General features: G+C 42.7%; 1 pseudogene across 1 annotated transcript in view; it reads left to right on the plus strand.

Annotated features, from left to right (window-relative positions):
- The window catches only part of HYDIN2 (HYDIN axonemal central pair apparatus protein 2 (pseudogene)), a 335,703-nt pseudogene that overhangs the window by 248,918 nt on the left and 73,910 nt on the right, over positions 1-12,875 (plus strand). The window contains exons 32-39 of the transcript NR_103556.2: positions 546-723; positions 3,086-3,213; positions 6,856-6,989; positions 7,455-7,591; positions 7,825-7,952; positions 8,105-8,296; positions 8,633-8,782; positions 11,361-11,600. The product of NR_103556.2 is annotated as an HYDIN axonemal central pair apparatus protein 2 (pseudogene) (transcript). The remainder of the gene's footprint in view (positions 1-545; positions 724-3,085; positions 3,214-6,855; positions 6,990-7,454; positions 7,592-7,824; positions 7,953-8,104; positions 8,297-8,632; positions 8,783-11,360; positions 11,601-12,875) is intronic.

Genomic DNA, 12,875 nt, shown 5'->3' on the forward strand with positions numbered 1-12,875 from the left:
CTCTGTCGCTCAGGTTGGAGTGCAGTGGCGCGATCTCGGCTCACTGCAAGCTCTGCCTCCCGGGTTCACGCCATTCTCCTGCCTCAGCCTCCCGAGTAGCTGGGACTACAGGTGCCCACCACCATGCCTGGCTAATTTTTTGTATTTTTAGCAGAGACGGGGTTTTACAATGTTAGCCAGGATAGTCTCGATCTCCTGACCTCGTGATCCACCCACCTCAGCCTCCCAAAGTGCTGGGATTACAGGCGTGAGCCACCAGGCCCGGCCGAACCATTTTTCTTTTTACATTTTTAGTGACTTTTCTCCTTATCTTCTTAATCAGTCTTGCCAGTTTTGTGTATTTTATTCGTCTTTTTTCAAAGAACCAGTTTGTGGATTTATGAACCTCTTCTGTTTCTTTGCACTCATTTCATTAAATCTCTTACTCCTTTCCTTCTTTTTTTAGGTTTACTTTGTCATTGGTGTTGTTGTTTTAAGTAATTTAATGAGTTGAACCTGTACTGTAGCACATTCGTTTTCCCTTTTCTGGTCTTTTTACCGCGTAGGGCTTTATCAGTTCACATCAAGAGCAGGTATTAAAAGTTTACTACCTACCTGGAGTACCTGAGGTCTTTAAAAGGAGTTTCCAGATACAGATCGCCCACCTGGACCCAGAAAATATCACTCTGAGCGGAGAGGGAATCTTTCCCCAAATCTGCCTCGATCTCCCCAGGAACCTCACAGGTACTACTTCACACTGGAGTAGTTCCCCACTGGGGACAAAACAAGCATTTTAGCTTTGCTTATTGGAAGATTGCTGGCTACTTACTTTATTTGCTTGGAAATCCCCTGTGGTTCTCTTCCACATTATTCTGCAATTACCAAATTGGTGACCTGAGTTTACTGCGACAAGAAATCGTCTATGGCAGCCCCAAATGAAGAACCCTGGCCAATTTGGCCATTATTGAATTACTGACAGAGGGATCAGGAAATTTACCTCCAAAAGCTTTTCCTCCCCCATGCACTTTCCTTCTGGCCCCAGTCTTTCCCCGAGCTGTCCTTTCCCTGTGACATTCTCCTAGATGCCACTGGGAAGGTAAGAGCCAATGAGCTTCCAGGAGTAGAATTCTCAAAGTATAAACTGCACAGAAAGGCGGACACAGATTCTGAGCCCTTATTTTGGCATTACACAGGGTGAAGGCTAAATTAGACTTGAATAATTGTCTTCCCACTTACATTTCCCAGTTACATCTGGCCCCCAGGACTATCCTTTTGTACCAGAATATTTCTGTCTTGGCAGATTCCGAACCTCAGCTGAGCAGCCCTTTTTAGCCATAGACTGTCTCTGGCTCTTTCTTCCTGACGTCAGGTACAGGACGATGGATCAGGGAAACCTCTCACTCTTTATGAATCTCTATTCAAGCTCCTTGAAATCTACTTTCCCTAAAAAGCTTCAGACTAAGTCCTCCCACCCAGCCTCTCCTGTTACCCCATTCCCTGAAGTTACTAACTCTCCTGTTCATAATCATCCACTGAATTCTAATTGTCTGCTCCCTGAAAACTTGCATATATATATATATAATTTATATTTATATTTATATTTATATTTATATATATATATAGGCAAGACCCTGTCTCTTTTTTAAAAAGGTCTCGCTCTGTTACCCAGGCTGAAATACAGTGGTGCAATCAGAGCTCACTGTAATCTTAACTCTTAGGCTCAAGGGATCCTCCCGCTTCAGCTTCTTGAGTAGCTGGGACTACAGATGTGCACTGCCATGCCTGGCTAATTTTTTAATTTTTTTTTTTTATGATAGGATCTTACTTTGTTACCCAGGCTAGTCTTGCATTCCTGGTCTCAAGTGATCCTCCCATCTCAGCCTGCCAAAGCACTAAGATTACAGGTGTTGAGCCACAATGCCTGGCAATAAATGTCACTAATGCTAAGACCATGTTACACTCTCGTATCTAGAGTTCCAGCCAGATGAGGGTTACTCCAGCTCTACATATAATTTCAGGAAGGAAAACCTTTGCTATACGGTTGAAACTGGGCACCCAGCTGGCCTCATCAGGGCAGTAGACATGGTTTGGCCAGTAAGGGCTTTAAAATAATTTAAATTTGAACACCATTAGTTGGGTCTTCTGTTCTCCAGTTCACTACACTCACAGCATTTCCTATTGTTTTATAATAGGCTTTTTTGTTTGTTTGTTTGTTTGTTTTTTTGATACAGAGTCTTGCTCTGTCACCCAGGCTGGAGTTCAGTGACGGGGTCTCAGCTCACTGCAACCTCCACCTCCAGGGCTCAAGCGATTCTCATGCCTCAGGCTCCCCAGTAGCTGGGATTACAGCCACACACCACCATGCCCAGCTAATTTTTTGTAGAGACGGGGTTTTGTCATGTTGCCCAGGCTGGTCTTGAACTCCTAAGCTCAGGCAATCTGCCCGCCCTCAACCTCCCAAAGTGCTAGGATTACAGGCGTGAGCCACCACACCTGGCCTATAGTAGGCATTTTAAATGACTTTCCTACCTTTGCCTTTCAAAGGATTTGAATTGGCACTGGCGTAGTGGTAAATTCGGGTGGGAATCTCTCCACCGATTACCTACCCTCCCTGATTCAGGATAATGTGGCATATTTAGTGTTAATTAAAACAACTTGACCCAAACATATCTTTTGTTAATTGAGATTTAATAAACATAAAAAGTTACTTAAAGGGTGACCGGCTGTCTGGGTTTGTCCAGCACTGGGAGAGCTCCAGGGTGTAGGGGTTTAAGTGCTAGAACCAAGAAAACCCCAAGCAAGCCAGGATCAAGTGGGTCACCCTATGAGTGTCTTCGAATGTAACTAACTTCAAGTTCTGGAGAACCAGCCAGTCCTTCACTAAAGCACAATCTCATTGAACTCAGTGAGGTCTCTAATACAGATTCAACTCTCAAATCACCTCACCCTCTGAAGCAGGGAAAGCAGGGCAGACAAAGTATCCAAAAGTCCACTTCCCTTCCCACCTTACCAGGAGCTGAGGGTCTGTGTTTGCGACATCATTCATATTTTTCTGACCTTCCTGATTCTGCTCTCCTTCCAACCCCCACTCCCCACCCTGGTACAGCAAATGAAAAGTATGAAATGTTCTTGAATCAAGCCAGGAAAAACACAGACAAAGAGTATAACAAATGTGAAATGCTCGATCACTTTGACGTAATAACTGAGGAAGTGCCAGAAGACGAGCCTGCTGAGGTAAGACAGCTCCAGCCTGCACGGGACGCCTGTGCAGGAGGGTGGTGCGTGCAGAGTGCATAGGAGTTGTGTGCAGAGGGCACTGTGTGCACAGTGTGTGGGGTGTGTGTGCAGAAGGGCACTGTGTGCAGAAGCCCAGGGGCAAGGACATGGTCTCTGAGGTACAGAAAGGAGAAAGACAGAGATAAGGCAAAGAATCAGGAAGCTAGGAGAGGCAAGATGAGCCCAGGAGGTGAGGTATCAGATGGCTAATCTATTAAGGTTTTTGGACTTCGTCCTGAGGGCAACGAGAGGTGTGGCCCAATCAACTTTGCAACTTTAAGAGATCCCTCTGGCTGCCATGTGGAGCTTTGAGGGGACAGGAACTTGGGGATGATGAGAGTAGATTCGAGAGATCAGTTTTTTTAGAAGCTGACGGAGGGCCAGGTGCAGTGGCCCATTCCTATAATCCCAGTACTTTGGGAAGCCAAGGATGGCCTGAGGCCAGGAATTTGAGACCAGCCTGGACAACATGGTGAAACTCCATCTCTACAGTTTTTTTAAGCTGATGGAGTAATTCTAGGTGAGAGATGGTGGTGCTGTAAGCAATGGTGATGACAGTGGGGACAGGGCGAACTGGGTGGGTTCAAGGAATATTCCAGAAGTGGAATGGTCAAGACTTAGGGATTGATTGGATATGGGCATGGGGTGGAGGGGACCTCTAAGTCTTGCTTGGATGACGAGGTAAGGAGGGGGACTGAGACAGGCAACTCAGGAGGAGAAGCGAGGTCTTGGTGGGAGGGGAGGGAAGGGAAAGGAGTTCAGCTGTTTCCCGTGGCTACCGAATGTGAGATTTCTGTGCATCATCTGCGTAGAGCATCCAGTAGGGAACCGGAGCCACTGCTGGGCACCTCGGGGAGAGAGAGAGGTTGGAGAAGGTGACTTGAGAGTCATCAGATGATCATTGCAATCACAGGAAATGGGGAGATTCCCTAGGAAGTATGTCTAGTGAGCAGGAAAAAAGGCAGATTCAGAATGTAGCCCCAAAATACCCCAGCTTCTGAGTGGGGGAGAGGGGTGGCCAAAAGATTCTGGAAAAGTCAGGAGCATGTGGTGCCACAGAGGTGGGAGCCAAGCGAGGGTCTCTGGAGGAGAGAGCTTCTCAGCTTGTAAATAAAGGCTGGGATAGGAAGACAAAATCCCAATATATCCTCCCTCATCACCCCTGAAAGTCCTGTTTTAAAAGTCTATTCCTGACCCTGACAGCTGCCAACCCCCCTGCTGTTCTTTCCAAATGCAAATGTGCATGCGAATATTGTTCTAAGGAAGAATCATATATGTGGCTAGAGAGCCCTTAGGTTGGTTAAGAGGGGGCTCTAATGTGGGGCAGAAAGGTGTCATGGGGGAGACAGGAAGCACCAAAGCCCACCGGGGATTATTTGTTTTGCAGAAGGCTGGTTCAAGTACAAGATGCTAAAAGTGAACCTTAGCACCAAGGATGATCATAATTAATAACATCAGTTACCATTTATTGGACTCTTATACTAAGCCTGTGCCATACTGTTAACCTGTACTGTTATCTTGTTAAATCCTCCCACAATGAGGGTGGGGGGAGAATGGTGCTGCTGTCATCTAAATTTTAGTTTTACAGAAGTGAAGTGCATGTCCCAAGGCAAGCACAGAGCTAGGATTTGAAACCAGGCCTGCCCAGCTGCTAAGATGGTGCCCTTAGCCTCTGCCTTCTCCTGCCAGCCCCGGGCTGCCCACTGGACGCAATGATGTGTCTCCACCTGCTTATTGGGTTCCCAGGCTGCACCTTATCAAAGCCTAGGAGAGCAGTGGGGTGGGGTTTCTGTGAATATGATGGTACATGCAGAGCCAAGCTGGTTCCCTTGAGTAGGGCAGGGTGGACCACTCATGGCTCAGGAGCCAAGCACAGAGTTGGCTTTGCTGCTCTAGAATCCAGACAACTGGGAAGGCTGTCAGCAGACGCTGCTCCTCTCCCAGTTTGTCACACTTCCACTCTCACCTCCTGTGCCTCACTGTGGGCCATGGCACACATTAACCTTCCCTGCTGGGCCTAGACTTAAGGATTAGCCCTTTTCAAATAGTGTTTCTCAACCTTTTCCATTATCACTCCCTAAAAATCCATTTTAGACCTTTTTTCCTAATATTCCCCATGAAATATTTTTATTTATTATATACAAAATGGAATCTCCTTGAATAGTTTGACATACTTTTTAACTTTTTATTTTGAAATAATATATTTACAGGGAATTGAAAAAAAAAGGGTTTTCCCAGCAGTAACGTCTCGTATAACTATAGTACAACATCAAATCCATGAAATTGACATTTGTACAAGCCACAGAGCTTATTCAGATTTCACCACTTTTACATGCATGTGTGTATGTGTGTGGTGTAGTTCTGTGCAATTTTATCACATGTAGATTTGTGAACCCACCACCGCAATTAAGATCCAGAACTATTCCATTACCACCAAGATTCCTCGTGCTTCTTGAGGAAATAAAATTAAAAACAAAATCTCCCTCCAACCCAGAAAATCTATCCACAAAGGTAGAAGAGAAAGAAAACAATTTTATTATTGAATAAGCATTAAACCAGAATGTGATGCCCATCACAGGCAATCTGCTGAGAGATTGCAAAGGCAGAAGGAAGTCTGCCCCTCCTATAGAGCCAACCAGATCCAAGCCTTTTCATTCCTGTTCTCAGAGTAAAAAGTAGCTAGTCTCAAGTAAGAGGACTTGACACCATCATTTGCCACACATAGTTTATCCTAAATCGACATGGTAATTGAGGTGACCAACTGTGTTAGCTAATTGGCTTTATCCAAAGGAAAAACAAACTTGTCTTTCTAGCAGGGCCCCATGGAAGCTAGGCTCCCATCCTCTCACAGAAACTGGGAGTAGGGACTTCACCTTTCTTGTTGATTACGTGTCAAAGAGATGGTTCCCAGGTCCTTGAGAAAGACACTTCTGGCTCCTAAAGCTGGCAAGAGGCTTATTTCACTTTTAAAAAGATTTATCTACATTTCAAAGCGATAACATTTCAAAGAACTTAAAATTACAAATGTTCTAAACTAAATACTCTAAGGGGAGGAAGAGAAGTCTCTTCCCTTATTTTCAACAAGGAGAACTAAGCCTCATTTTCCATTTGTGTTTGGCCTTACATGTGCCCAGGTTATAACCACATCCACCCCTCTCTCCCTGTCCCTTACCTCTGGCAGCCACTCATCTGTTCTCCATCTTGAGCCTTTTGTTATTTCAAGAATGTTATATAAATGGAATCATACAGCACATCGCCTTTTGAGATTGGCTTTTTTCATTCCACATAATGCCCTTGTAATCCATTCAAGTTATGCACCTCAATAATTCATTCCCTTTTACTGCTGAGTATTCCATGGTGTGGATATACCGATTTGCTTACCCTTTCCACGCCCTTCCCAGGAAAAATGTAATGCTTTAAACATACCATGTATCTGTTTATGTTCTGTGGCTCTTTGGGGGCCGCAAACCATTGTAATATTTAAGATATTTTCCACCACCCTCCAAGAACTAATTTTTGCCTCTTTAGGGGTGGTATTGTCCCTGTTGAGAATGCATGTTCCTAAAGAATTTGCTGACTTGCTCTTCCTTCTTGCTTCAGGTAAGTGCTCATCTCCAGATGGAGGTAGAAAGACTTATAGTCCAAAGCTATGTCCTAGAACATCAGAAAACAACCACCCCTGATCCTATGGATGACCCCTGCTTCAGCCATCGGAGTCGCCGCAAACTGGCCAAGTGAGTGGTTTCCAGTGACTGCCTTTCTGTGCTGTGCTTGTTTCAGAGTGTAGCAGAGCAAGCAGTGCTGCCTCGTGCAGCACACTCCCGGAAACACTGGCTGATCACCTCGCAATGAAATCCACTCTCCTCACTTATCCGCCATCCCCTAGCATCAAGCCAACTGGGCAGCTTTCTGCCTCTTAGAGTGAGAACATTACAGCTATGTCTAATGGACAGGCTTCACTTCAGGTCCATAAGGGGCCATGCTGAACATGTTCTGAGATAATGGCCAAAACAGTGGTGTGAATCTCTGGGGGAGTTAACGTTGTTTCTAGTCTCCGTTTGGGTAGCCATTTGTTGTTCTCCACTCTGGAGAATAAAACTGTGCACAGGAGGTAGAAAAAAAAAATCAGACTCACTCACTTTTGGAAAAGTAGCCTTCCAGGTTTGAAAGTGACTAGTAAGGTCTATTAACCATTTCAGAATCCAGCTACCAGAGTACATCCTGGACTTTGGCTACATCATCCTTGGCGAAGTCCGAACCCACATCATCAAGATCATCAACACCAGTCACTTTCCAGTGTCATTCCATGCAGACAAGCGTGTCCTTCATGAGACAGGTACCCAGGCTGGGGAGACGCTTTCCTATTGCACTTGGTCATTTCTCGCAAGGAACCCATCAGTACTGTCCTCCTGGAGCAGCTTTTGTGCCTCTGGGATCAGCTAAAAGGATTCTTGGGCTATTCAGTGATCCTTTGAGCAGTCATTCTGACCCAGTGGGGGCTTTCTCTAGAGCAGCTCTTGTTTGCTGTTTCTCTTTTCCATGAAGAAATTTTTTTTTGTCTTGGTCCAGGATTCAGTACTGAGCTAGATCGTGTAAAGAATCTGCCTCATTGTGAAACGGAAATATTTGAAGTGAGATTTGACCCACAGGGGGCCAATCTTCCTGTTGGAAGCAAAGAAGTCATTCTGCCCATCAAGGTACAAGGCACCGCTGGGCCCACCCGGACCTGCAGGTTTCCAGCTCTGCTTGCTGATGGCCCCTGGGATAATCCAGTTATTATGTCAGAGCCATGATTCTTCCTTTCCCCAACCCCATGACACATGATAACTGCAGTTTATACCCTCTCTAGGTGGTTGGAGGGCCAACAGTTCACATCTGTCTCCAAGCCAAGGTGACCATTCCAACCATGACTCTCTCTCGTGGAAAAGTGGACTTTGCCACAATTCAGTGTGGACAGTGCCTGGTGGAAACTATTCAGCTTTCCAATCATCTCCAAGTCCCTTGTGAATGGTTCGTCCAGAGCCAAAAGCCTGTTGACAAGGTAAATGAGCTGTGGCCCATTGGTCCTCCTTTCTCCATCTCCATTGCAGCCAGATTTGTAACTCTAGGTCTTGGTGCTCATCATTTCAATCTCCTGCTCAAAGACTTTCAGTGGCAACCATTGCCTCCTGAATAAAACCTGGGCCCTTAGCCCAGCGCTTGAGGTCCTATCAGGCCATGCTGTCGGGTGGAATGTCTTATTCATCTTTGCACCTCTGGTATCTACACATTCCCCGACACCTGAGAGGTACTCAGGAAATGTGGGTTGTGTGAGTGGAAGGTGAATGAGCTCATTTTCCATAGAAGATGATCTAATTCTCTAATATTTATAAACCAGCTGGAGAAACACATGCCGAAGTACTTAAGACAGAAACTACGCGCTGAATTAAAGCCAAAGACACGGATCTTCGAAATCCAGCCCATTTCTGGAGTCTTGGATCCTGGTGAGAAGTCCAACGTGCAAGTGAAATTCATGCCAAAAGAAGAGGTGAGCTTTAAAGAAATATGGCTTCATTTAGATTCTCTGGACCTCTTTGAGCTTTACTCAAAGTCCATGCTTGTTTGGGTCTCAAGGGAAGCTTCGAGTGACCTGTGCCTTGCTTTTCTGAATATGGCATCTCAAGCACTTCTGGTTCACATAGGAGCTGTGTGGTCTGGTGGTCTGGAATCATTGGACTAACACATCAATTTTTATCAGAAGGCCTGGGTTAGTAGCCTTCTGCCTCTGCACACTTACATGCTGTGTGTCTTTGAGGAAATTACTTAGCCTCATTCAGTCTCAGTTCACTCATAGATAAAAGAAAAAATAGTAATGTTGCATATCAGAAGTCCTTATTGAAATTCTGAAACCCAGTAAGATCCAAAACTGGGGGTGGGGGGTTTGAGATTTCATAAGCTTCGCACTAAAACTCATTTGGCAGAAAAATCTCATCTGAACTGACATGACACCATTTAACTTTTATTTGTACAACTTAGTTTTCAGAGTCAAACATTGACAACAACTGTTAATGTGTTTGATTACAGGGGACCTGCCCCAGACCCTGCTGAGGGTATTAGGTAACATAGGGTATATGCACTGTGTTTACTATTTGAAAAATCTGAATTTGAAAGTATCTGGCCCCTGGGTTTCAGATAACTTATTGTCAACCTGTAGTGACTACCTCCTAAGGTCATTTTGAAGATTAAATGCACAGTATTGAATAAAGTACACAGTGTGCTGCTCTATGTAAGTAAATCTCTCAATAACTATTAACTATTATCATCAGTAGTCGTGAAAAGTACGTCCCAGTAGATGGCCTCCCGGAGCCTCATAAATGTTTCTTTTGTGAACATAATCAACTCAAAGCTACTTCTGACCAGGAACATAATAAAATTAATAAAATCCTCGAACCAGAGAATCTCAAGAGGTTGCACTGTAAAGACTTTTATTCAAAGCCTAAGGCACTTGGGAAATATATTTTTCTCTATTCTGTTATTTTAAAAGAAAAATTGATTTGTGTTTTATAGAAGAGCTATGGTTAACTCCCATTTTCCTTGTAATCGCTTTGAGGAAATGCTTAAGCACCTTCAGTGAGAAAGAGAAAAAGCAAATGACTTCCTATCTCATTCTAAAATAAAACCCATGTTTTTATCATTATCAAAATCTTCCCAGTCCATTTAAAAGAAAATTAGTAATATGTTTGTCATTCTTAAAGAGTCTTAAAATTTTCAAAGGGTTTACTCAAGATTGTGGATTTTTTTTCCATTACTTAATGAGGGAAATATAGTAAAAAAAAATAGATTTGTTCAAGCAGTTTCATGAATGTTGAGTTGGAATTGGTCAAAGTTAGTAAAATGTTTCCACCAATTAAGAGAGAAATTTATTAGCTGTATACAAGGAATTGGTTAGGCTTGCAACCCATACGATCCATATATCTGCATCATCATCAACATCAGCAGCACCAAGAAATCAGTGACATCCACACCAACAATTCTTAGGCATGATAACATGTTCAAGAAAATGAATGAAATGTTTTAGAAAGATTTCCATAAGGAGCAATTAAAATACAGAAGTTTGAATCATAAGGTACTAAGCCCATAACTATAGAGAAACCCTTCTTAGCCAGTAATTTATCTTTTTGTGTCCAGAAATAGATATTTCTGTGTGTATGTCTGTATACATTCCATCCATTTGCTTTTTCCCCTTCAAGCTAAGATAGGAGGTCTTCAGATTGTGATTTGCGTAATTTCCTCTCAAACCAAGCCACAAGTCCAGCTATACCAGAATAACCTAGGCATCTGGTTAAAAATGCTGAATCCCAGCCTTACTCTGCCCCTACAGAGTCAGGATTTCTAGGGATGGAATCTGAGGATCTGCATGTTTAATAGGTTCCCCAGTGAAATCAGACTAGGAACTATGGGATGCAATGTAGATTTGGGTACCATTTTGAGAAAACATGTGAGTAGTTATGATATAACTATTAACCAGTATCTGGTTGTAATTGTATCTGATGAACTGAATGCCCCAGCTCTGGCATTCTGCCAAACTGGGAAAATACACAAAGTACACACTTCAGAATCATCACTCCTCAGGAGCAAGGGAGCTGGGGTCTTTTTACCGTAAATCCCCAGAGTCATTGCTTAATAACTAATTCCAGATGGTATCATTTCCCTGGCATTTTTGCCCTGCCCTCCCCTGCCCATGGACAGCAGGGTCCATGAAATGAGAACCTTCAGGCCCAGAGATGCAGACAGTGGCAGCTGGAAGTCTGAGCACACTGGAAGATTTGAGGGATGTGAAAGTGATACTCAGAGGGCTTGCTACAAACGATGAAGCACTTGATACAAGTGCTAGAATGCTAGATACCCAGAATTTATTTGATATCTAGCACTTGGTACAATGCTTGGCATGCTAAATACCCAGTACTTATGTTAATTTGGTAATAAAAATTACTCTTATGCAATTTTATAATAAGTTTTCTCCCTTAATCTAAATAGATAAGTTTTTTCCCCTCAGCGGTGTTTTGTTTTACATGACATGTAATGGAAATAAATTCAGATGCTTGTTTTGTTTTTATGTTTTCCAGAAATTCTACAGCCAAACCCTGGTGTTTCAGATTGCCCAGAGTGCTCAAAAGCTTACCCTCCTGGCACGTGGGCAAGGTCTAGAGCCACGCCTGGAATTTAGTCCTTCAGTCCTGGATCTGGGGCCACTGCTACTTTGTGCACCTGGAGACGAGGCCGAGGTGATAGTGAAGAATCCCTGCAACTTCCCCATTGAGTTTTATTCCTTAGAATTTGATCAGCAGTATCTCATAGAAGAAAAGGTGAGCAGAGGTCAAACCAAACTGTTTTTCTACACGTGCTGGACCCTGCTATGTACTCATGCTCTTTTCTCTGCATGCAATAACATCCTCCTGGCCTTTCCCATCTTTTTCCCCTTGAATTCTTCCTTGTCAATTTAGTGATTACTTCCCTATAGCCTTTTCTGACCTACTTCCCTTGACCTGAGTAAAATCCTAGACATTTTAAGCAACTAATTGAAAAGCTAATGCATGTTCATGGTTAAAATTCCAACAGTAAAGAACCGTATATAGCAACTTGTCAATATCATTGTATTTGAAGTTGAGTTACTTGTAGACAGCATGTAATTGGGTCATTTTAAAAAATATGCTATCAGTCTCTAACTTTAGTTGATATATTTAGACTTTAGTTGATATATTTAGTTTACATTTAGTGTAGTTATTGCTATTTCAGGACTTAAGTCTGCCATTGCATGTTTTATTGTTTTTTGGAATTTTTTGCTTTCAGGAATTTTTTGTTTACTTTTTCCTACTTTCCTATCAGTTGCTTCAACATTATTTAAAATTCCATTTTTATTTACCCAGAGTGTTTTTTGGGTGTATCTCTTTGTATAGCTCCTTTAGTTATTGCTGTAGGTATTACATTATCTATACATAACATTATAATCATTGACTGTCAATGATTAAATGTCAATCACTGGTATTGACATTTTAGCAGTTCTAGTGTATTTAGAAAACTTTCCTCCATTTAACTCCCTTCAGCCTTCCGATTTTTAATATAACTGTCTTAAATATTTTTCTTATATTAGCTAGCACTATAATTATTGTTTCAACTGTCAAACATACATTTGAAGACCCCAGAGGAAAGAGAAAATGTATTACATTTGTCTCTCTTTTTACTCTTTCTGTTCTTTCTTCTTTTCTGATACGCCAAGATTTCTTCTTTTATTATTAACTTTCTGTTTAGAGAGGTACCTTTAGCTCTGTTGTTAGGGTATGCCTGCTGATAGAAATTTCTTAGTTTTCCTTCATCTGAGAATGCCTTGACTTCCCCTCTCATCCTTGAAGGATTTGCTCACTGGATATAGAATTCTGAGCTGACAGTTCTTTCATCCCTTGAAATATATGCCACTTTCTTCTGGCCTCCATGGTCTAATGAGAAATCCAATGTCATTTGAATTATTTTTTTTCCTCTGTAGGGGAGATTTCATCTCTCTCTCACTGCTTTCAGGAATTTTTCTGTGTCTTAGTTTACAGAAGTTTGACTATAATGTGTCTTGGCATAAATTTCTTTGGTTT

This window comes from Homo sapiens, chromosome 1 (assembly GCF_000001405.40).
Source record: "Homo sapiens chromosome 1, GRCh38.p14 Primary Assembly".
NCBI classification, from domain to species: domain Eukaryota; kingdom Metazoa; phylum Chordata; class Mammalia; order Primates; family Hominidae; genus Homo; species Homo sapiens.